This window comes from Homo sapiens, chromosome 9 (genome assembly GCF_000001405.40).
Source record: "Homo sapiens chromosome 9, GRCh38.p14 Primary Assembly".
Classification (NCBI taxonomy): Eukaryota; Metazoa; Chordata; class Mammalia; order Primates; family Hominidae; genus Homo; species Homo sapiens.
In genome coordinates this window covers 112,812,071-112,838,043 of record NC_000009.12, presented here as the reverse complement: position 1 = coordinate 112,838,043, position 25,973 = coordinate 112,812,071, and the positions used below count along the sequence as shown (strand labels likewise).

At 41.2% G+C, this 25,973-nt stretch overlaps 1 protein-coding gene across 12 annotated transcripts in view, besides 3 other annotated features; it reads right to left on the bottom strand.

The window, feature by feature from the left end:
* SNX30 (sorting nexin family member 30) overlaps positions 1-25,973 on the bottom strand; it is a 136,047-nt gene that overhangs the window by 47,726 nt on the left and 62,348 nt on the right. For 10 of the 12 annotated variants that reach the window (XR_007061307.1, XR_007061301.1, XR_007061302.1 and 7 more), the window contains exons 3-5: positions 20,229-20,339; positions 7,161-7,319; positions 1,635-1,830 (exon numbers count right to left, since the gene is read on the bottom strand). Coding sequence is in view for 3 of the 12 variants with exons in the window: in XM_047423393.1 (XP_047279349.1) it covers positions 1,635-1,830; positions 7,161-7,319; positions 20,229-20,339 (466 nt within the window). In the remaining 9 variants the exon portion in view is untranslated. Of the gene's footprint in view, positions 1-1,634; positions 1,831-7,160; positions 7,320-20,221; positions 20,340-25,973 lie in introns of those variants that run through there. The other 2 variants (XR_007061308.1, XR_007061309.1) reach the window with 2 other exon arrangements.
* Positions 4,649-4,849: a silencer, noted in NCBI's record as "peak7321 fragment used in MPRA reporter construct". NCBI's record gives its function as "represses an SCP1 promoter by STARR-seq MPRAs in K562 erythroleukemia cells {active_cell/tissue: K562}" and the evidence as "EXISTENCE:reporter gene assay evidence [ECO:0000049][PMID:32103011]".
* Positions 18,027-18,256: an enhancer, noted in NCBI's record as "active region_28830". NCBI's record gives its function as "activates an Ori minimal core promoter by ATAC-STARR-seq in GM12878 lymphoblastoid cells {active_cell/tissue: GM12878}" and the evidence as "EXISTENCE:reporter gene assay evidence [ECO:0000049][PMID:35858748]".
* Positions 20,047-20,096: a silencer, noted in NCBI's record as "silent region_20196". NCBI's record gives its function as "represses an Ori minimal core promoter by ATAC-STARR-seq in GM12878 lymphoblastoid cells {active_cell/tissue: GM12878}" and the evidence as "EXISTENCE:reporter gene assay evidence [ECO:0000049][PMID:35858748]".

Sequence of the window (25,973 nt, the reverse complement as noted above, 5' to 3'; positions counted from 1 at the left end):
TGGCAGGCGCCTATAGTCCCAACTACTCAGGAGGCTGAGGCAGGAGAATTGCTTGAACCCAGGAGGCAGAGGTTGCAGTGAGCCAAGATCACTCCACTGCACTCTAGCCTGGGCAACAAAGCGAGACTCCGTCAAAAAAAAAAAAAAAAAAAAAAAGAAAAGAACCACTCGCCTACCCATAGTGTGAAGCAGTATTTTAACAGGCAATGGAGGCAGAGTTTCATATAGGTTTAGGGAGATGTTTTTAAAGGTTAAAAAATAAAATCAGGGGCCAGGCACGGTGGCTCACACCTGTAATCCCAGCACTTTGGGAGGCCGAGGTGGGTGGATCATGGGGTCAGGAGATCGAGACCATCCTGACTAACATGGTGAAACCCAATCTCTACTAAAAATACAAAAAATTAGCCAGGCGTGGTGGCGGGCACCTGTAGTCCCAGCTACTCAGGAGGCTGAGGCAGGAGAATGGCGTGAACCCGGGAGGCGGCGCTTGCAGTGAGCCGAGATGGTGCCACTGCACTCCAGCCTGGGCGACAGAGCAAGACTCTGTCTCAAAAAAAAAACCAAAAACCAAAAAACGAAAAACAAAAACAGTCACAATGGATAAACAATGGAATTTTAGGAAACATTTTGATACAAGAGATGTGGTCTTACACTGGCAGACTCACTCTATCACTCGGTGGCCACCTCAGCCCCTTGGATCCCATCAGAATTTACTCTGCAAGATCCTTAGGTGTGGATGGTATCCACAGCTATCTCCAAAACCTATGGGCCCCACATGGTATCATCAGTGGGTCAAGTAGAGGGAACAAGTACAAGAAATGAGAAAAAAAAAATGTTGATTTTTTTCCCCCGTAAAGAAAATCTGGCCCATCATTTGTCACCAAGAGTCTTGCCATTGTTGCAACAGAACACAGTCATCATGGCTTAGTGACCGATGAATGGCAACTGCTGGGGAATCCTCAACGTGCTTCCCATGCCAGTGCGATCATTTACACTGCTCACGTCTGTCCGCCCCATGCATATGTAAGGAGATAAAAGATCCCAACATTATGGGATGTGGCAAAGCAGGTGGCCCCGAGAGGGGTGGGAAGGAAGTGGAGGCAAAAACGAGGAAGGATCAATACAGGCCCTGGCAACTCCCCCATGCAGGAGTGGGTTTAAAATGAACCACGGTGGGGTGGGTGAGTCAATTACAAGTCTGAAGATTCATCAGGGTCATAACTTTGGCAAACACAGGTCTCCATGCTATCTTTCTGAACCATCTTTCTGCCAGAAAAGGTATCTAAGTTTGTTTACTAAATTATTGTTCCCTATGGATGAAGGGCAGTTGAGTCTATGTCTCCACTTTTAAAGCTAAAGTTAAGAGAGCATAAAAGAGGAAACACCTGGCGAATCAGCAGTGCTGGCCATGGGAAAAGCAAACACAAGGCTGACACAGCAGGACAAAGGACGGGGTGCAAAGTGACATTCCAGTCACAAGTAACTCCTCCCCTCCTTGTATTTCTTTGATAAGCAAAAGATGGCCTAGTTCTGTCACTCCAGCATTTTGCAGTTTGATTCTCTGTAGCACACATGAATGGCATTTCTGCCAATGTGGCTGCAGGGCATAATCGAGACCTCAACAGACAGCTCACCTATTTCTTCTTTGATGATCCGCTGGGCTATTCGATCAATGGTTCCCAGTTTGAGTGCAAATGTATCTAAGTAGTCACCTATGGCAGCAAACTCAAGCGGCCGAGTCCTCAGCTTGTAGCCGCCAGTGACGTGCTTGACTGACTCGCCCATTCTGGTCAGCAATGCTATCCCTTGCTTCTTGTAGGCGTTCAGGTCCTGAGGATGATATGTGAATAAGCTCAAAGCACTCACTCACTCACATGGGCAGGACTAAATAAAACAGCTTCTAAAAGCAGCTTCAGTTTGGAAATGGAGAACTCGGGAAACAAGGAGCTGAGTTAGAGGCTCTAATCACATTCACAGGAGGAACCTGGCCTGGACGTCATAACCACCAGACTCAGGCTCCTGTAGGTTGACACTTAAATCCCTTTCAGCAGAGCTGAACGCCAATCCTTAATCAAATTCACTCACCTGAGCACACTGCCCTTTAAACACAATGCTGTTTCTAACATAATTTTTTTTAAGTATCTGTTTCTCCCATACAAAGTACCCTATATTGTCTTTACAAGCAAAACTGAAGAGCAGAGGTTCCGAGATCCATCACTCATTTATTTATACCCCAACTAAAGCCATATAAGGGGAGTAAAGGGTGGAAAGCAGGAAACAGTGGCAGAAAAACATTGCTAGAAAACTCAGGCCTAGGATGGATGCTGTAAACAGCAAAACATTTTAACCCTGGATTTCTTGAAGGCAAAACTGGAAATATGTTGAGTTTCATAACCCATTGTATCTAAATATAAAGCTTATTAGCCAGGCTAGGCATGGTGGCTCATGCCTGTAATCTCAGTACTGTGGGAGGCTGAGGTGGGCAGATCACTTGAGGTCAGGAGTTCAAGACCAGCCTGGTCAACATGGTGAAACCCTGTCTCTACTAAAAATACAAAAAAAAAAAAAAAATTAGTTGGGCATGGTGGCATGCACCTGTAGTCCCAGCTACTCAGGAGGCTGAGGCACGAGAATCATTTGAACCTGGAAGGCAGAGGTTGCAATGAATTGAGATCGTGCCACTTCACTCCAGCCTGGGCAAAAAAGAAAAGCATATTAGCCTGCCTGATAAAACAAGCTTCCTCCTATCATCAAACACTAAGAGGAATCTATACAATCTTCAGGTTGTCCTGTGTCACCTACTGAAAGGGTAGCTTACAAAATGGTTTTACAGAAGGTACAGGTGTCTGTTCCTCATATCCACCCTCAATACAAACAGAATGTTAATCCCCAGACCTAGAAGGGTATAACTAGAGGGAGATAAAGGAACCCAGAACAAGGACACAGCTTTCTGGTGACGTGGCCTGATGCAGAGGATAGAGCAGAGAATGTGGAATGTGCGGCTAACATGGCCCAACAGCCCCTCCGCATTTGATGTACAATTTCAGGCTGAGGTCTCTATAGTATCTGAGTGTAGGCACCTCGTGAATTCACTTCCTTCTTCGCTTCCTTCTTTAGGCCTTCATTTTTGCTCTTGATCCAGCCTTTCCTATTGAGGTAGGTGTGTGTGTGTGTGTGTGTGTGTGTGTGTGTGTGTGTGTTTGTGTGTGTGTGTGTTTAATCCACGGTTCCTGGCTCATAACCTCCACAGACCTTGTTCCAGTCTTTTCACTATAATGTTGGGTGTGTTAAGCCTCAGGAAACAGAATCTCTCTGTCCTTCCCCTGCCCTCCTTTCACCTGCCCCAAGGCAGGACTCGAATCTTCCCCAGCCTTTCTGACTAAGGTCCCTCCCTACACCCTGGAGGATGGAATGCTGCTGTCACGAAGCTTCCACAAAAACCCAAGAGAGCTGGGTTTAGAGAACTTCTGGAGAGCTGAACATGTGGAGTTTCCTGAAGGGTGCTACACCCAGGGAGGGCATGGAAGTTCCACGCCCCTTCCCCCACGCCTCGCCCAATGCAACTCTTCATCTGTATCCTTTGTGATATCATTTATAATAAACTGGTAAATGTGTTTCTCTGAGTTCTGTGAATTGCTCTAGCAAATTAATGGAACCCAAAGAAGAGGTCACGGGAAGCCCAACTTGAAGCTGGCTGGTCAGAAGTTTTGGAGGCTTGAACTTAAGGTCCGAGATCTGGAAGCTCTCAGACTTGAGGACTGAGTCCTCAACCTGTGGGATCTGATGCTATGTCCAGGCAAATAATGTGCAAATTAAACTGGTGGACATCCAGCTGGCAATGGCTGCTTGGTGTTTGGGGAAAATCTCGCCCCCACCCCCACCCCGCAATTTGGTCACAGAAGTCTTCTCCTGTGTTGATGACAACTGTTGTTGCCTGAGAGCAGAGGAAAACCATGGTTTGAGAGTTTTTCTGGAACACCTATCCATACCTTCCCCCAACCGAGGGCCTTGCCCTACCAATTATCCCCTCTCCTGTCTGTATCTTCAACTTCTAATCCTTCAGCATGTAAAATACACCCAAGGCTGACCCATCTTAAAAACAGCAGCAATCTCCTCTAGTTCCTCTCCACCTCTCTCGTTTCCTTCAGAGTCAGGCTGCCTGAGAGAGTGTCCTAAAGATTCCATCTCCCCTTCTGACCTCCCACATTCTAGACAAGAAACATCCTCAAAGGCACAAGGCCTTCACAAGACTATAACTGAAGCCTCAGAGTTCTTGGAATTACCTCTGCAGACAGCGTTTTTACGAGTGGGACTAGAGTCAAATGGGCTCGCTGGACTGCACAGGCTCCGCTTCAAGTAGAGCTTTGAAAGCGTGTCCCCGTTAACCAAGTTAATTTACATGTTGAATAAAGTTATTCAGCAGTATCCATCTGATTGCTGTACCCACTCTGCCAAAGATGAAAATATTGACTTGAATATAGTTGCTATTGAGCGTCCCCATTTCTCCCAGTATTACTACTGGCTGCTGCTGCTGCTTCTTTTTAATATATAGAGATGGGGTCTCACCATGTTGCCCAGACTGAACATGAACTCCTGGGCTCAGGTGGTCTACCTGCTTTGGCCTCCCAAAGCGCTGGGTGTTACAGGCATGAGCCATTACATACAGCCTTTTGGCTTCTTCTTAAGGACATTTCTAATTTGTTGATAAACTCATGTGATCACAAAGAAAAGGAAGAGCGTCTCTGCATTCCCTAAGGCAGAACACGTAAGTGGCTCATCTCAGAACAAGATCAAGTTATTCAAGGTATGTTAAAGGAAAAAATGAGGCAGCTGGAAGAGGGGGAATAGGGTGCTGCCATTTAATGGGCATAGAGTTTCAGATCTGCAAGATGCAAACGTTCTGAAGATGAGCTGCATAACTAATTTAAATATACTTAACACTACTGAACTGTACACTTAGAAATTGTTAGGATAGTAAATGTTAGGTGTATTTTATCACAATTTTAAAAATTTTTAAAGAAAAGATAAGGCCATTTAGCACATTTTGTTCAGCAAGCGATACTGAATTAGGGCTAAAATTTGTTCTGTTTAAAGCCACCTCTCCTGTATTCACTCATATGGAGTCGGATTTTGATTAAGGCAGTAAAGGACCTTATATATATAGATATTTTATATATATTATATTTATTATATATTATATATTAATATATTTATTATATATTAATATATAATATATATTTTTTCTAATTTTTTTTAAATTTTTTATTATTATACTTTAAGTTTTAGGGTACATGTGCACAACGTGCAGATTTGTTACATGTGTATACATGTGCCATGTTGGTGTGCTGCACCCATTAACTCGTCATTTAGCATTAGGTATATCTCCTAATGCTATCCCTCCCCCCTCCCCCAACCCCACAACAGTCCCCGGCGTGTGATGTTCCCCTTCCTGTGTCCATGTGTTCTCATATAAGGACCTTATATTTTTTAAGTCATTTTCATACTGCCTGGCCCACAGATAGATAAATCTCCTCTCTCTCTCTCTCTCACACACACACACACACACACACACACACACACACACTCTCTCTCTCTCTCTCTCTCTCTCTCTCTTTCCTACTTATTCTTCATACAGATTCCTAACAACCAGGGGTCCAAGCTTTTCCCTCCCTTTTCTTTTTTGTTCAGTAAACATGAATGTGCTTAAGGGCTTTCTGGAAAATGGACCTTGGGGGAGAAAGTGAGTTGTGCTTTTGGAGAATAGGATGTATTCTACTTTGAGTATGAGTTGAAGGAATTATACCTGAGGTTTAGTTTGCCAGGAAATACTTAGTTTTAAAAAGTGTACCTGTCCAACCTGTAGGGGGGGAAAGCCTCTGGGAAAAAGAGATGCTGAACTGGAATGTCATCAATAAGGCTCAATGCCAACTGAGGTTATAAAAACTAAAGGACTCTGTCATGCGGCTTCCACTGAGTGAAGAACGGCACACTCTCCGAAGTCTTTAATGTCACCTAATGTTATCTATAGCTATTTCCCAATTTTGCAGATTTGAAAAACTAGAAAGTATCTGGACCACAATACCCTTGCCAACATGGAACATGTTACATATGGCCTGAACATGGGAATATGATACCTGAAACCAAACAGATGGGACTAGAGGGAAGCTAGCAGGAGGGTCTGAGCATGTGACCCCATTTCTGCAGACAGCGAGAGCACAGCACCTCAGGTTTTCTGGCCAGTTCTGCCAACAGGGAAGTGCAGAGAAAGGCCAGTGGACAACCAACTTGAGTTTGAATACACAGAATCTGGCAACTGTGTAGGACCCAAATGTTTTATCTGGCAAATGTCCACCTGACAGGAACATGGTTGCAGGTTAAGTAACAATCAGGCAGTCTGATACACAGGGACGGTGTGGCCTCAGTAGCCACAAAGACCTAATTTGAGATCCTAGTGACGCTACCTGAACAAGGACAAGCTCCTGGAACTTGAGTTTCCTTGTCTGTAAAATGCAGCTGCAAGTAATCACTCAAAGCGCCCTTAAGAAGAAAACCCTCACCAAACACTCAAATGTTCCTTCTGTTCCATGCCCATTGTTGGTCAGACTGGCCTCACCCAGTAATACTGCCAAGTGTTTAAGGAAACACTTAGCTCTGCTTTTGGCAGAGCAAATATTCTAACTTCCTCTGCTGCTGCAAGTGGGTGGGGCCCCGGATGGGGTGGGGACAGATCTCCTAAATTCTAACATAGAATCCATCTATATGGATTTGCTAATGCAAAAAAGCATGCTAATGGACACAGGCACCCAAAAAAAGACCAATTTTATGACAACCCTGTTACAGTGAACCATTTGCTCATGAAGGTGGCTTCTGAAAGATCAAAACCGCTTTTTTTTTTTTTTTTTTTAAAGAGATAGGGTCTCACTCTGTCACCCAGGCTGCAGTGCAGTGGCACGATCATAGCTCACTGAAGCCTCAAACTCCTGGGCTCAAGCTACCTCCTGCCTTAGCCTCCCAGGTAGCTGGGACTACAGGCGCACAACATCACACTCGGCTATTTGTTAAAAGTTTTTGTAGAGACCGAGTCCTGCTCAAAACAGCTTTTAGGAAAGAGCCCCAAGAATGGTAATATGGACGAAGAGGATGTAAATTTCTGCCCTTACCTTAGCAGTAAGGAAAATATTAAAGTGTTCATTGAAAGACAGCACAGGATGGTCCGTAATTCTTTTTAGAAATTTATCCAAAGCTTTTCTTCTGGTCTCCACAAACTCTTCTGAAAAACGATCCACAACACCTTTTACCACAAACTTCTCGGGAAGAGGCTATGAAGACATGAAGAAAAAAACCAGAGTAATTGATGAGATGGTGCAAGGAAAAACAACCAGGCTAGCACACAGTTCTATTACCCCTCTATCCAAGAAAAGTATTTCTTAATCAGGCAGATCTTCATGTAGTCATTAATATAAAGACTTCTGAAAAATACACATGGAGTAAATACCCTGTCAATTTTATAATGCAAGGAATAAAACACTAAATTATAGTCTCTGAAATACAGAAAAGTAGATATTTATCCAGTAAATTCAACAGTAATTTTTACATTGCTTGATGTACACGTGATATGATGGAAAAGTTATGGCAAGAAGAAAAGAAAAGAAGAAAAAGAAAAAGAAAAGAAAGAAGGCAAGCAGGCAGGCAGGCATCAACCACATAAAAATTTATTTAAATATTTTAAGATTCTGCTCCCAGTACTTCATTCCCCATTCATACTTGGTGAATGAATAAATTAGGTAAATTCATGTATCTAAAAAAAATACCTTTTATAGGCCAATTTTTTGGTTTAGGTTTATACTCAAAAGTTATTTAAAACGTAATTTCCTTTATTCCCCTTATTCAAATACATTTCTCTATTATACTGACTTAGAGTCAATACTGTGGGCAATTTAAAACTACCTGCCTACCAAGGGATCTTTGAGCTTTTAATCTGTTTCCATAGTAGTTTGATCAACTGCTTGATTAAAAAGCCTTCTTCATTATTACTACCACAGGGAAAAGAAGTATCTGCTATGCACATGTTTTAAAATATTTGAGCTATGAAATATTTTTAAAATTGTACATTTAAAAAATAGGCAACTAAATCTAATAGATATTTCTCTAAAGAAGATATCCAAATGGCTAAGAAGCACATGAAAAGATGCTTAACATCAGTAAAACCATCATGATACGCCATTTCATACCTGCTAAGATGGCCATAATCTTAAAAAAAAACAAAAACAAAACAAACAAAAAAAAACAAGTGTTGGTGAGGATGTGGAGAAATCAGAACATTTATACATTGCTGGTGGGAATGTAAAATGTGCAGCCACTGTGGAAAACAGTTTGGTGGTTCCTCAATAAGTTAAATTTAGAATTACCATAAAACTCACCAATTCCACTCACAGATTTATGCCCAAAAGAACTGAAAGCAAGGCTGGGCGTGGTGGCTCATGCCTGTAATCCCAGCACTTTGGGAGGCCAAGGCAGGTGGATTGCCTCAACTCAGGAGTTCGAGACCAGCCTGGGCAACATGGTGAAACCACGTCTCTACCAAAAATATTAAATATAAAAACAATTAGCTGGGCATGGTGGCTTGCACCTATAGTCCCAACTATTCAGGAGGCTGAGGTGGGAGGATAGCTTAGGCTGGCAAGATGGGGAGGTTGCAGTGAGTGGAGATTGCACCACTGCACTCCAGCCTGGGTTACAGAGTGAGACTTCATCTCAAACAAACAAACATTTTTTAAAACTTTAAAAAAAAAATTGAAAGCAGGTGCCCAAACAAAATTTTGTACACAAATAGTCATAACAGCCTTGTTTACAATGACCAAAAGGCAGAAGCAATCCAAATGTCCATCAACATGTGAATGGGCAAACAAAATGCGGCATATCCATGCAATGGACTAATAGTTTGTCATAAAAACTAAGTACTAAAACATGCTACATCATGGAAAAACCCTGGAAACATTATGGTAAATGAAAACAGCCAGATACAAAAGTCCATATATATGATTCCATTCATGTGAAATGTCCAGAATAGGCAAACCCACAGAGACAGACAGTAGATGGTGGTTGCCAGGGGCTGGAGAGATCGGGGGAAATGAGATGTGACTGCTTCATGGGTACAGGGTTTCCTTCCAGGGTGATTCTGAAACTTTTCAGAAGGTGGTGACAGATGCACAACATTGTGAATGTATTTGATGCCACTGAATTGTAGATTATAAAATGGTGCTATGTTTTTTAGCACAATAAAAGAGCGTATTACATACCTCAAAGTCATAAAGCATAATAATAGTACCAGCACTTATTAATCTACCACTCAACTTGACAGAGAGAACACTGCCATTGACAAAGTTCCCTGTCAACGGATCCCTGATCAGATCTCCGCTTATTCCTGCCCCCATGAAGGAATTAACAATCCTCAACTTTTTGGTCATTGCTCCCCTCTAAGTTTCAGTTTTAAAACCATGTACTGTTCGTTGAGCTTGTTTAACTTTATAAAAAATAAAATTACAGTTAATGTGTCACTTAATGACAGAGATACACTCTGAGAAATGCATTGTCAGGCAATTTCATCATTGTGTGAACATCACAGAGTGCACCTACACAAACCTAGATGGTGCGGCTACTACACACCGAGGCGATACGGTATAGGCTATTGCTCCTAGCATGTTACTGTGCTGACTACTGTAGACAATTGTAACACAATGGCAAGTACTTGGGTACCTAAACATATTTAAATGTAGAAAAGGTACAGTAAAAATACAGTATTATAATCTTATGGGACCACCATCTATATGCCATCCACCATTGACAGAAATGTCACTATGCAGTACACACCTGTATAGTTCGCTTTTGTCATTCAACATTGTCTTTCTGCGACTTATCCATATTGATGTATGTTTAGCTACAGGAAAATAATTTTACTGTTCCATAGTCACGCACTATATAACTGACTGTGTGACAAATTGTCCACCTACTCTCCTGCCTGTGAACGTGTGCATGATCATGTGAATGGTTTTCAGCTTTATAGCCCTACTAACAATGCTGCTGTGAACACTCGTGCAGATGCAGCCTCTTTAGAAAATGCAAGCCTCTTTAGGGAATAAACCAAGACAACGTTGGCCAAGCAGGTCTATCAGGACAATCACATGCTTTTTCCTTTAATACGGTAAGTGGTAAATTAATATATTTTCTAATGTTAAACCAACCTAGCAGTTCAAGTTCAAAGTAAGACATTAAACACAAGCATTTAACTCCACAACCTCCTCAAACCCCCATAATATGGCAATAAAGAGGATTTTTTAAAATTATAAACCCTGAAGGACAAAAACAAACCAGAAATAAGACATAGCAACAAGGATTAGTGGACTTAGCCAACCCAAAAAAGTGGAATACTAGGCCACTTGGAGTAGGCCTAGTAAACCTAGATTTAGAACACAAAACCTTGAAAAGATTTAGGAATTGGTAACACCAACACCCCACCCCCTGGAAAAGAAGTATTTGGAGTATGAGGGAATTCAGTGCCCTCAACTTGAAAGAGCTTCAGAAAGTATGTTTTAGTTATCAAGAGTAAAGATTCTGATGCCATGCTTCCTGGGTTTATCTTTTGACTTTGCCACCTACTAGCTGTTTGCCTACCGTCAAGTTCTATACATTTCTTGGTACCTCAAGAAGTTGGTGCTAGGTAAAAACTAATAGCATCAACTTCACAGGGTTGTCATGAGGATTAAATTAGCTAATATGCTGAAAGTGCTTTGAATGATTCCTACCACAGGGTAAACACACACAAGTTTGGGTGTCTTTGTTGTAAGACTGGCAGCAGCTTCAGGGGACTACTAATCTTCAGGGACATCCAGTGTTCATTTAAACCTTGACATGGTGGGAATATTCAGAGAAGATGTTAAGAATACTGGGGGATTCTTTATGACAGAGCAGGAGTTCCAAAAAGGGCACAGTGGAAAGGTTTGTAAATGAAAGAAGAGAGGGGAATAGAGTCAGGAATAAAATTACAGACCCACACAAGGATAACATGTCCACGTGTGACACCCAGCAGAGCTTACACTTGAGTAGAATATTCGAAATGCAGTGCTGGATCAGACAGACGGGCCACTCAGCCCGATGCTGGCCCAGTCCAAAGCACTGAGAAGTTATCTTAATGGGATATGGCTGTCCTTTAGGATAATTCCTTTATTCTGGTCAGTTCTTCTCTCCCCCGTTCCTTTAGGCAGCCATTCTCATACCCCAGCTTTTCGTGCTAAGCAGATTACTATCTTTCTGAAGTGAGAACCAGGTGTAAGAGCATCAGATGGAAATTTCCTATTTTGCTTCCTCCACAGAAGCCCATTGACTGGGCATCACCCTCACCTCCATTCCTTAGCCCCTGTGGAAAACAACCCCTCCTCCCCTAAAGCTAAGCATTCCATCTGTGTCCTTGACCCATTTGTTCATTGGGGTGCACCTGTCATTAATCTCTTCCCTGTATCTTCAACATCTCCTGTTCATCCAGCTCTATTCCCAGAATCTATAAAAATATGGTTGGTTTTTCTTCCTAAAAAATACGAATCCAACCACCCCTTGACCTTATATCTTCTCCCTTGTCCTTCCTGGCTCATTCAATCTTTTTGAAAGGAGTCACTTATCTCGACTTCACTGTATCCCATTGATTTCTCAACCCCCAGCCTTCTGCCAACCCTCAAAGCAAAACCAGCTGTGATACTGCCTTCAGTGCTGGGTTTCTCTGCCCTATCCCCACCCAGTGCAGAAACGGCCCTTTTAAAATTGAGTGCCAATGACTTTCTAATTACCAAATCCAGTGGATATTTTCCTGTTCTTACTTCATGAGTCCTGTTACGATACTCTCATTTGCTTCTGCTGAATAAGACTTGAGAGGATGGCCTGAGGCGCAAGTAAGTGGTTAGGAGTGCCTCATTTAACATAAAGATGACATTCTACAATAGGGGTCCATTCTTCAGATTTAGCAAATTGAACTTATGTTTCATCAATCGGGGAAACTTGATATTTAAAGGAACCCTAGAGAGAATCCTTCTGCAAGCAGAATTTCCTCCTGTCATAAGCGTTATCATTTCCAAATGTATGTAGCTTCAGAAATTTCTTGCTATTTCAAGATTCCTTACGGGACACACCTACTCTCAGCCTCACCTCTATTACTGTCTGGGTTGTTTACACATAGGAATCTGGGTTGCAGGTGAAATCAAGTCCATCTATAGTCTGTAAACCACATCATGTAAATGAAAAGAGCTCAACACAGTTCCAGGCACACAGCAGATGTCTAACAAATGCCAAGTATTTTTATTAATTTGTAAGCACCGAGAACAAAAAGCAAAAAGGGGAGTGGACTTACAGGTAGAATGTCTATATAACGTTTAGGCCAAAATGTCTTAAAAAATCGATTGGGGGAAGCAGACACAGTGGCTCATGTCTATAATCCTAGCATTTTGGGAGGTCAAGCTGGGAGGATTGCTTGAGGCTAGGAGCTCCAGACCAGCTTGGGCAACATAGCAAGACCCCATCTCTACAAAAAATAAAAAATTAGCTGGCCATGGTGGTGCACGCCTGAAGTCCCAGCTACTGTGGAGGCTGAGGTGGGAGGATTGCTTGAACCCAGGAGTTGGAGGCTGCAGTAAGCTATGGTCATGCCAATGCACTCCAGCCTGGGTGACAGAGTGAGATCCTGTCTCAAAAAAACAAGTCATTTGGGATCTACTTCTTCACACCCACTAGAATTTTTAAAGTAAAATAGCAAATGTTGGCAAATACGTGGAGAAATTGGGCCCTCATACATTTCTAGTGCAGATATAAAATTATAAGCCACTGTGGAAAACCGTTTGAACAATTCCTCAAAAAATTAAACACAGAATTACTATATGCTCCAGCAATTCCACTTCTTGTTGTATAGCCAAGGTAACTGAAAATAAGTGCTCAAACAAAATCTTAGACAACCACCAGTGTTGATAGCAGCATTCTTCATTATAGCCGGGCTGGGAAAAGGAGGGAATTGAGAGTGGTTCCTTAATGGGTACAAAGTTTCTTTTGGGGGTAATGAAAATGTTCTGGATTAAATAGTGGTGATGGTCGTACAACACTCAATGGTGGTGATGGTCGTACAACACCGTGAATGTACTAAAAGTCACTGAATTGGACACTTCAGAATGGTTAAAATGGTGATGTGTAATATGGATTTTACTTCCTTTTTTAAGAAAAGGAGATGTGATGGTGGAAGCAGAGATGATGACAGATATGCTGCTGGCTTTGAAAATAAAGAGGCCATGAGCCAAGGAATGCAGACAGCCCCAAGAGCTAGAAAAGGTAGGCAAACAAATTCTCCCCTAGAGCCTTCTGGTGGAATGCAGCCCTAGCCTATATGTTGATATTAGCTCACTAAAACTGATTTTGGACTTTTGACCTCCAGAGCTGTAAGAGAATAAATTTCTGTTGTTTAAGGTACTTAAAAAAAAAAAAACACCTGGGTGTAGGGGTGAGGGAGTGGACAGTGATGAAACAAGATTGGCCATGAGCTGATAAATGTTGAAACTGAGTGATGGAGTTTCAACGGGACTCATCGTACTGAATCTCTTCAATATGGTTAATATTTTCTACAATGAAAACATTTTTAGAAACTGAATATACACATATATATGTTGGATCCTGCAAAAAAATCCTATTTGCAAAGTATTACAATAATCCATTAAATATTTCAGGGTTTAATCTTGAAATACTGATATTAGATAGTACTTAGTACTTTAGTAAAGCACTGTCATTTATATTCCATATTAGTTTATAAAGCTGTTTTATAATCTGAAACAATAGCATATTTGTTGTAGACTGTCAATGGAAAGCTGCTATTTCTGGGTAGGAAATCTAGACAAATCTTTCAATTGCTGAATCCTGAAATGTCCAACTTCCTCGTCAGCAAATGACTTGCTTCTTCTAAGCAATTCAACAAATATTTAGTGCACATTAAATATTTACATGGCAGAGGCCTATTTCTCCTACCCTTGTCGAACTAATAGAAAATACTGCTTCTAAGCAAAAATTACTACCAAATAAATAAAGGAGCATAGAGATTAAAAGCTTGTCACCAAGTGCAGAGATTAAAAACAATAATCACCAAGCCCAGTTTAATGCAAAGCATTAGGAAGTTGAACCAATGTTTCAATACTTATTAACTTATCCATTGAATAAGCTAAACGCAGGTATATTTTTAACAGTAGAAAAAAGAAGAACCCAACTAGAAAATGGAGTTTTTATTATTTCATATTAAAAAAAAAATTGTTGCATTACAAATTTATTCTCATTAATTCCTCTGAGTTTACTACTACTCAAAAGAAAACTTGGACATAATACAAATGTATCCTTCCAGAAAGCTTTCTTCCTTAAAACTGAGGTAAACATTAAATTTCCAAGTGAAAATTAAACACTCAAGTGTTTATTCAATGTATCTGCTTCATCTTCCAAATCTAATACGGGCACCCATCTAATCATGAAATTGCTCTGCTGTGTAACTAGTGCTCCAGGAAATGCAGAAGTGTCAAACCCACTGAACAAATACCGAAGCAGAAAATAGAATGGTGGTTGCCAGGGGTACGGAGAGTGGGAAATGGGGAGTTGTTCAATGGATATAAAGCTAGTGTTATAAAACATAAATAAGTTGTTCCAGATATCTGCTGTACAAAGTGGTACCTATAGTTAACAATACAGTCATCCTCCCTTATCCTAGGGGGATACATTCCAAGACCCCCAGCAGATGCTGAAGCCATGGATGGTATTGAACCCTGTATATACTATGTTTTTCCTATATATACACACCTATAATAAAATTTAGAAACAAGGTGTCACTGTGTTGCCCAGGCTGGTCTTGAACTCTTGGGCTCAAGTGAACTTCCCACCTGTATATACATACCTATATATGTATATGTTTTTTCCTATACATACCTATAGTAAAATTTAGTTTGCAAATCAGGCAGAGTAAGAGATTCACAATAATAAAACAGAACAATTATAACAATATTCTGTAATAAGTGTTATGGGGATTTGGCCTTTCTCTTTCTCTCTCAAAACATCTTATGGTACTGTATTCATTCTTCTTCTTGTGATCTCCAGCCTGATAACCAAGAGGGCTACTAAAGGACTCACAGGTGGGCAATGTCTACAGCGTGGATACACCGGACAAAGATAATTTATGTCCTAGGCGGGACTGCATGAGATTTCATCACACTATTCAGAACAGCAAACAATGTAAAACTTATGAACTGTTTATTTTTGGAATTTTCCATGTCATATTTTTGGTCTACAGGTAACTGAAACCATGGAAAGCAAAACCACAAATAAGGGGGAATGACTGTATGGTGTTGCATGCTGTAAAATGTGATAAGACGAGAGATCTTATGTTACATGTTCATGTTACACATTATGTACATCTTATGTTACAGGTTCTTACAAAAAAAAAAAACAAAACAAAACAGCAAAGGGACAAAAGAAAACTTGTGAAGGTGATGGATCTGTTTATTACCTTGATTGTGGTGATGGTATCAGGGGTACATACAAGCCTATCGAATCGTATGCATTAAATATGTGCAAGGCTATTCTGTATATCCATTATATCTCAAAAAAGCTTTAAAAAAAACAGAGGGAAAAAGTCATAATGAAGACTTTCTGGCAGCTCCAACTATTACATAATGAAGAAAAACACAGTGAACTGCTGTTATGAGATGACAAACATATACAACCAGCATACTTCTGGTTCCAAGAAGGCATTTTAAGAACATATGGTTACTCTTGGCCAGGCGCGGTGGCTCATGCCTGTAATCCCAGCACTTTAGAAGGCAAAGGCAGGAGGATCCCTTGAGGCCAGGAGTTTGAGACCAGCCTGGGCAACATAGCAAGACTCTGTCTCTACCAAAAAAAGAATTAGCCAGGCATGATGGCATAGGGTGCCTGTAGTCCCAGCTATTCGAGAGGCTGAGGTGGGAAGATCACTTGAGCCCAAGAGTTCAAGACCAGCCTGGGCAACACAGTGACACCTTGTCTCTACAAAAAAAAATTAAAAACCAGCCAGGCATGGTGACACATACCTGAGGAGGTTGAGGTGGGAGAATCGCTTGATCCTGGGAGGTCGAGGCTGCAGTGAGCTGTGATCATACCACTGCACTCCAGCCTGGGTGACAAAACAACATTCCTGCCTCTTAAAATTTTATACATATAATGGGGCTGGGCGCAGTGGCTCAAGCCTGTAATCCCAGCACTTTGGGAAGCCAAGTCAGGCGGAACACGAGGTCAGGAGATGGAGACCATCCTGGCTAACATGGTGAAACCCTGTTTCTACTAAAAATACAAAAAATTAGCCAGGCATGGTGGCGGGCGCCTGTAGTCCCAGGTACTAGGGAGGCTGAGGCAGGAGAATGACGTGAACCCGGGAGACGGAGCTTGCAGTGAGCCGAGATCACACCACTGCACTCCAGCCTGGGTGACAGGGCGAGACTCCGCCTCAAAAAAAAAATTATATACACACACATATATATACACACATATACACACACACATATATACACATATATACAAACACACATATATATATACACACATATATATAAAATTTGAAAAAAGAACTATGAAAATTTAAGGATGAAAAGGCACCCCAATTTTTAAATGGGCAATGGATCTTAATTGATATTTCTCCAAGGAAGATATGCAAATGCCCAAAAGCACATGAAAAGATGCTCAACATCATTAGGGAAATACAAATTAAAATCACAATGAGATAGCACTGCACATCCAGTAGAATGGCTACAATCCAAAAGACAGACAGTAACAGCATTGATGGAGATGTGGAGAAACTCCTATACATCGCGTGTGGAAATGTAAGTTGCTGTCATCACTTTTGAAAACAGTCTGGCAGTTCCTCAAAAGGCCAATTATAGAGTTATGTATGATTCAACAATTACATTCCTAAGAATACACCCCCCCCAAAATGGGAACATGTCCACAGAAAAACTTGTACATGAACGCTCACAGCAGCATTACTCATAATAGCCAAAAGGTGAAACAACCAAAACGTCCATCAAGGGTGAATAGACAAAATGTGGTATTATCCATAAACTAGAATATTATATGGCAATAAAAAGGAATTAAATATTAATATATGCTACAACATGGATGAACCTTGAAAATATGCTAAGTGAAAAAACCCAGTAACAAAAAAAATCACGTTGTGTATCATTTCACTTACATGAAATGTCCAGAATAGGCAAATCTGTAGAAAGTACATGAGTGGTTGCCAGGGGCTGGGAGATATACAGTGTTTGTAAGTGACAGCTAAGGGATGTGAGGTTTCTTTTTGGGGTGATAAAAAGATTTGAAAATGGATAATGCTGATGGTTGTCCAATTTTATGAATATACTAAAAGCCTTTGAATTGTACATTTTAAATGGGTGAATTATATGTTATATAATCTCAATAAATCCTTTCTTAAAAAGGGAAATGAACATTTCTGCATGTTTGCTGGGTCTCCAACTGATAATAAGTTCCCCAAGGCAGGGGTCCTTTGTCTTCCTTATAACCTTCTCATCCCATCCTCTCTTCCTCCCAAAGATGACACTTAAATAACAGACAGACACCTCCTAGCAAAGCTACTATAAAATTTTTTTGTAGCGGATGAGGGGGGTTGGTTGCTGGTTTGACTTTCATACTTAAATCAGAGAGGCTCTCCCATATTAAATCTCCACTCCAGATATGCAAGTACCAAGAATTTATGAAAAAAAATTAAGTTTCTGCTTGTTTCTAAAGTAGCTTCCTACCAACTGCTTCTATCCAGACCATCAGAAACCACACTTAAAGATATTCTGGATCCACTTTGGGCATTCCGGAAATTCTTCCATTCTCTTCTAGTGTCTATGGAAGAGTAGACACTATGTTTCAACCAGCAGGTGTCACTGTCTTACCTTTGCGCTTCCAGTATCAACCTCACAGGCACCAGCTGCCAGGAGGGCAGCTCCCTGATGCATGGTGTGGGCTATAAATAAACAGTGACTTTCTTCCAAAGAGTACAGTACAAAAAGGCTGGGAGAAAGAGTAATTGTACAGTGAAGAAAGCTGACCAGCACTACCTCAAGTCAGGCGATGGAGGTTCACATCAATGGTGAGGCACACTGTTGACAGCACGTGCCCTGGATAGGTGATGAGGGTGGCAGCTTGCCTCTGTGGTTTCCTCCCCAAACACATTACCCCGATTGGGAAAGCCGTCAGACAAATGTCAACTGAGGGACAAGTCTACAAAATTCCTGACTAGTACTCCTCAAAACAGTCATGGTCATCCAAAAAAGGGAAAGCCTGACAAACTGTTACAACCAAGAAGAGCCTAAGGAGACATGACTGCTAAATAAAATGTGGGATCCTGGGTAGGATCCTGGAACAGAAAAAAGGAACTTGGGCCGGGCGTGGTGGCTCACACCTGTAATCCCAGCACTTTGGGAGGCCGAGGTGGGAGGATTACCTGAGATCAAGAGTTTGAGACCAGCCTGGCCAACATGCTGAAATCTCATCTCCACTAAAAATACAAAAATTAGCTGGGCATGGTGGTGTGCACCTGTAATCCCAGCTACTCAGGAGGCTGAGGCAGAAGAATCGCTTGAACTCCGGGGGCAGAGGTTGCAGTGAGCCAAGATCATGCCACTGCACTCCAGCCTGGGTGACAGAGGTAAACTTCATCTCAAAAAAAAAAAAAAAAAAGAAAGAAAGAAAAATAAAAAGGAACTTGGAATAAAAGACTTTTAGTTAATAATGGTGTTTATTTCATAATGACTGGTTCATTTTGACAAAAGTGCCACACTAATATAAAATGTTAATACCGGATGTGAGGCTTGAGAATTCTCTCTACTACCTTCACAATAATTCTGTAATTCTGATAATGTTCTAAAATGCAGTTTATTTTTTAAAAATTATTCACTAACTGCCTATTTTGCCACCTTAAGATTCTATTTTAAGGAATATTCCCAACTGTTTAAAAACTACTGTTTCCTCTTCAGGCATGTTTTTAAGTGGTTAGAAGACAGAAAAAGCAAAACTTCAGGCTCGGAGAACAGAAAAGTATGTGGAGGAAAAAGGAGATACCCTGAGAAAGAACTGAGTCCCAGGTGAGAGCCATCGTTCCTATCACAGTACTGGCAACGTGGCTCTTTTCACCCTGAAAACTGAGAAAACTGCCAGTGCATTCACAACATACACAGCCTCTTCTAACCATGGGGGGAAAAAGGCTGGGAGATGCGGTAGTAACAGAAAGTTGGTAGTCCTAGGAAGTTATCATTCAACAAAGGTTTTTGCTGAAAGATAAATCAGCCCCTCTGAGGAGTTTTATGACTCAAACTGCTCTAAAGCCCCCAAGGCCCAAAGAAACATCTGGTGTCCAAACCGTTATTATTTCTACTTTTAACAAAAGTAGTCAGAAAAGTACTCAATATAAATGTTGAGGCCAGGCACGGTGGCTCACACCCGTAATCCCGGCACTTTGGGAGGCTGAGGTCGGTGGATCACCTGAGATCAGGAGTTCGAGACCAGCCTGGCCAATATGGCAAAACCCCATCTCTACTAAAAATACAAAAACTAGCTGGGCGTGGTGGCATACGCCTGTAATCCCAGCTACCCAGAAGGCTGGGGCAGGTGATCCACTTGAACCTGGTAGGGGCAGGTGATCCACTTGAACCTGGGAGTCGGAGGTTGCAGTGAGCTGCGATCATGCCATTGCGCACCTGCCTGGGCAAGAGAGTGCGACTCTGTCTCAAAAAAAAAAAAAAAAAAAAGATTTAAATTTCTTTTGCTCTGGTTCTGTTTTTTAAAAACTGTGCAGATGGAAGCGCTGGAGTAGATAAATGTCACGTTGCTTCAATAAACAGTGTTAGGTGGTTTCTTGTTTTTTAAATGAAAAACTGTGGCAATGGATTCTGTGCTAGATTTCTGCCGCTGTGGCTAAAGAAAGCCCAGCCAGCCGCAAAACTGGCTTTCTATATACCAAATCAGAAACTAAAACCTAATAGGTGAAGTATTGTATACAGTGTCCGTTAACATGTTTTATATATGTTTGCTGGGTGAGTCTGTATAACTTAAGGGATGAGAGTTGAGTGAACCCCTTCAGGAAAGACAACACAGGACAAGTGAGAAACAAGCTGTAGTGACTTACTACCTACGGGAATGAGATGAGTGGGCTGGGATTCTTCCAGTTTGCTCCTCAACCAGTCAAAATCCTGGTATCTTCGACGAACAGAATATTCTGGCAGGTCAAACTCCACCCGAGTACTCTGCAAAGAAGAGAATGGAAAAAAATAAGCATAAGGGAATAGCATATCTTGGCTGAAGGGAAGGAAAAAAGCTCTTAGAATAACCAAACTAGGCAAGATCATATTTTCCTTCCACCAAACACAACAGCCAAATGGCAGAGTTTACCAACACAGAATAGACCAGTCTGGGACACTTAGCCCAGTTAAAAATTCAACGAGCTGGAATAAAAATGCCAGTTTTCCGAGATTGCACCACTGCACTCCAGCCTGGGTGACAGAGCGAGACTCCGTCTCAAAAAAAAAAAAAAAAAAAAAAAAAAAAAAGCCAGTTTTTTTTTTTTTCCCTACCGTCAGGAAATAGAATTCAACTATCCCCCAGAATTGTTTAGAAACATTTGATTCATTTCCTCCAAGCTTAACTCTAACAATTTCTTTTAGCAGAAAAAATCCACTTAGGATATTGCTACTAAATCCAAATCTGTGAAAAGAAATTGTCTCCACCTTCTGCTAAATATGCTGACAAGTTTTGCCAAAGAGGAAATAAACAAAAAGTAAAGATAATAGATCACTGCTCATTTCGGGGGCAGATTAGATGAAAATAGAAAAGGTTTTGCTTAATTTGCCACATTCTGCCAAACCACAACCCTGGAACTGTTATATTTTAGACAGATAAGAAAAAATCTAGAAATAATACAAAAATGCCATTGCATTGCAGAAAAATATTAATAATCTCATCCCTTTTTCTCAATTTTTAAAGTTTTCTGAAATGTGATTGCAGCACTTTAATAATGAAAATCAATGTTAAATAAAATTGAGTTGATTTTTACCAAAACAAGATTTTTACTCATTTACTGGCACAAATTACACCGTGTCTCACATAAGCCATTTTTCCCTATGAGGATACACACTATATGACTGTCATGGTTCTCAGAAATTAAAGTACAAGATAAAAATGGGTCAAGCTACATCTCATAAATTTACTCTTTCAAGCCAAAAGTCTGTTTTAATTCACAGCACCAAGAAAATCTTTAAGCACATGAACGAGAGTCATTCATCAAAGAAAAAGCTGTGAACAGCTCTAGCATCAAAAATTATGATTTCATCCTCCCCAAAACCTGTGTTCACTGTCTTAGCAAAATGGTGAAGTTCAAGGACTCATTCTTGGACTGACCCCCAACTAACTGCATTGTTTCCCCTCTTCAAGTCCCACACACCAGCATATGCCTATGAAACACGACCTTCCTCTGTGTTTGCAAGGGTGAAGATGTGGGGAAATTCACTCAATGTAGGTATTTGTGACTTATCAGATGATTTTCCCAAAGGAACTAGCATTGTAGGACTGGAGAGAGAGGAAAAAAGACAACACTTAAATCCAGAGAGCAAGTCATTGTTGACAAATTTTCAAGCACAGCATGACAGAAATATTGGGAACAAGTGGCCTGATACTCCCATCCCCACACCACCCGCACAGGCGGAGTAGGAAGGACTCTGCGCCTATGCAGTTCTTGCATCCCTACCAGATCCCTAACATGTCACTAAGCCTCCTTGAGCCCTAGGTTCAACAGTAAGAAGAGAGTTAGGGCAGGGCGTGGTGGCTCATGCCTGTAATCCCAGCCCTTTAAGAGGCCAAGAAGGAAGGATTAGCTTGAGCCCTAGAGTTTGAGACCAGCCTGGGCAACATAGCGAGACCCCATCTCTGCAAAAAAAAGTTTTAAATTAGCCAGGTGTGGTAGTGCATACTTGCAGTCCCTACTACTCAGAGGCTGAGGCAGGAGGATTGTCTGAGCCCAGGAGGTCGAGACGACTGCAGTGAGCTGACTGTGCCACTGCACTTCAGCCTAGGCGACAGAGTGAGACCTTGTCTCAAAAAAACAAAAGCAGGTTGGAAGGGAAGTTCAAGACCTCCCATCTCCCCCCGATAGGCTCCATGTGAGAACTTGCCAATGATTAAGGGCTAATGAAAGACATATTTTGAAAGGTGACAAATTAAAGCAACTGGTTTTCATTGTAAACCAAACTGATGGAAGGCTCTACTTTTTGCCTTCTTAAATGTTACACGATTATTGGCTGGGCGCAGTGGCTCACACCTGTAATCCCAGCACTTTGGGAGGCCGAGGTGGGCTGATCATTTGGGGTCGGTAGTTCAAGATCAGCCTGGCCAACATGGTGAAACCCTGTCTCTATTAAAAATACAAAAATTAGCCAGTTGTGGTGGTGGGTGCCTGTAATCCCAGCTACTCAGGCAGCTGAGGCATAAGAATTGCTTGAACCCCAGAGGGGGAGGCTGCAGTGAGTCAAGACTGCACCACTGCACTCCAGCCTGGGAAACAGAGCAAGAGACCCTGTCTCAAAAAAAAAAAAAAAAAGTTACACTATTAACTGATCATTTCTCTTATGTTTTTCAGATCCATTTCATAAATTACAGTTTATGTAATATTTCTACTCTAATTTGAAATCATTTTTGGTAACTACAAAAGACAGCACAATAGAACACACGTTTTATTTTTGCCACAACCAATTTCACTTTTGGGGAACAGGCTTTTTTTTTTTCCTTCTATTTATTCGGGTTATATACTTATTTTAAAACTTCAAGAAAAATAAATAGAAAATAAAAGATCAGCCATAATCCCTCTAAATACAGAAAAACACAATTAACATGGTTTATATGTTTCCATATTTTTCTACGCATATTCATTCATTTACTCATTGTCTGTATCTCTTTTAGCACATCTTGGACATCTTTCTGCAGCAGTAAGTTCAGATGTACAGTCATTTTAACACATACATAGTATTCCACTGAATGGTTACACGATAATTAAACCAAATCCCCATTTAAGTTGTTTCCAATTTTTCCATCAATAAACAATACTTTTGTAAACACCATTGAGCACCTCGTAATTCCCTTAAAATAAATTCCTAAAGATAGAATTGCTGGACAAAAGTGTACATATACTTTTTAATTGACAAACTGCTTTCAGAAATATAGCAATTTATATTCTTACCACGTATTCTCAGGAACTAGTTATCTTTGGTGGACTGATAAATGAAAAATAATACATCATCTTTGTTTACAGTTGTTTCTTTAATTACTATTGGGGTTGAACATCCTTTCAAATGTTTATTGGCCAAAAGAAGAAAAGTATTTTTCTTCTTTTATCAGGGGTCTTTTTAAAAATTATAAGTCCAGCCAGGCGCAGTGGCTCATGCCTATAATCTTAGCACTTTGGGAGGCCGAGGCAGGCAGATAGCTTGAGTCCAGGAGTTCAAGACCAGCCTGAGCAACATGGCAAAACCCTGTCTCTACAAAAAATGCAAAAATTAGCCGGGCATGGTGGCATGCACCTGTAGTCCCTGCTACTCAGGACGCTGAGGTGGGAGGATCGCTTGAGCCTGGGAGGCAGAGGTTACAGCTAGCCAAGACTGCACCACTGCACTCCAGTGTGAGCCACAGAGTAAGACCTCAACTCAAAAAATAAATAAAAATAAAAATAAAAATTGAGTCAAGTCTTTTTCATTTGTGTAAGTTCTTTATTACCATTTGCCTATCATAATTTCCAAATGGTTTGTCTGATACAGAATCTTTCCATTGTTTTATTGTTGATTTCATCCATATTTGCCCTTTATGCTACTTTTGGGGTCTTCAGTAAGAAGGCCATCCCCACTGCAAGCTTATAAAAATATTCACCTATAGTCTCTATGATTTTCTTTTCTAGTTATGTCTAATCACTGCTTTTCTACTTCTAGGAATCTACCATTGGAAAATAATGTCTAAACTGTGGCAAGGATATTTGCATAATGATCTTCATTGCAATATTATTTAAATCAGCAAGGAATCAAAGCAACCTAAATATTCAATAATTAAAAACTATTAATGAAATTATGGCATATTTATTCTATGGCTGTCAGTAATTTTGTTGGTAAGACTTTTTTTTTTTTTTTAAATTTAGATAAGAGCCAGGAGTGGTGGCTCATGCCTGTAATCCCAACACTTCGGGAGGCCGAGGCAGGCGGATCACTTGAAGTCAGGAGTTCAAGACCAGCCTGGCCAACATGGTGAAACCCTGTCTCTACTAAAAATACAAAAATTAGCCAGGCATGGTGGTGCATACCTGTAGTCTCAGCTACTGTACTCTGGAGGCTGAGGCAGGAGAACTGCTTGAACCTGGGAGGCAGAGGTTACACTGAGCCAAGATCGCGCCACTGCACTCCAGCCTGGGCGACAGAGTGAGACTGTCTCGCAAAAAAAAAAAAAAAAATTAAATACAGTCCCCCAGGCTGGAAGGCAGTGGCACAATCATAGCTCACTGTAGCCTCAAACTCCTGGGCTCAGGCAATCCTCCCACCTCAGCCTCCCAAGTACCTGGACTACAGGCACATGCCACCATATCTGGCTGATTTTTGGTGGTTTTTTTGTTTGTTTTTTTTGTAGAGATAGGCGTCTCACTATGTTGCCCAGGCTGGTCTCTAACTCCTGACCTTAAGCAATCCTCTGTCTCAGCCTTCCAAAGTGATGGGATCACAGGCATGAGCCACCACAACCAGGGTATAAGACATTGTTGTTTTGGGGGGTTTTTTTTGAGATGGAGTCTCACTCTGTCGACCAGGCTGGAGTATAGTGGCATGATCTCGGCTCACTGCAACCTCCACACCTCCCAGGTTCAGGTGATTCTCCTGCCTTAGCCTCCCAAGTAGCTGGGACTACAGGCGTGCGCCACCACACCCAGATAATTTTTGTATTTTTAGTAGAGACGGGGTTTCACCATGTTGACCAGGCTGGTCTCAAATTCCTGACCTCAAGTGATCCACCCACCTCAGCTTCCCAAAGTGCTGGGATTATAGGCATGAGGCACCATGCCCGGCCTGTTGTTTTAAGGGAAAATGGGAGGATACAAAATTAATTGTACATAAGGATTTCATTTACATTAATATCTGGATATTAAAAAATTTAGAAGAAAAATTTAAAGCTAATAATGAGAACTGTCCTCTTTATATTCACTCTTATTTCCAAATTTTACACCATTCTCATACACTATTTTTATAGTCTCACACACACACAATGCTCATTTTTTAAAAGCTCCTTTAAGGACATTGGGAACTTAATACAGCAAGAAAAACCTGCTTGATGCTTTGGAAAGCAATAACGTAAGAAGTTATCATGAAAGGGATGCTCAAGGTCCACTACGGTGGCTCACACCTGTAATCCCAGCACTTTGGGAGGCCAAGGTGGGCAGATCACTTGGTCAAGAGTTCAAGACCAGCCTGGCCAACATGGTGAAACCCCATCTCTACTAAAAACACAAAAATTAGCCGGGTGCGGTGGTCCATGCCTGTAGTCCCAGCTACTCGGGAGGCTGAGGCAGGAGAATTGCTTGAATCTGGGAGGCGGAGGTTGCAGTGAGCCGAGATCGCATCACTACACTCCAGCCTGGGTGACACAGGATGACTCCGTCTCAAAAAATAAATAAATAAATAAATGGATGCTTGCACACTCTCTGACCCAGTATTTATTTTACTTATTTTTACCACAATTTGTTCTAGAAAAGATATAGTGATAGGTAAAATACAATCAAATGACATAAATTAGAAGTAGGTGAAAAGGAAAGAAAAAACAAGGACAGAGGGAAAAAGTAGAGCCAGGAATGAGGCTAGCAAAAC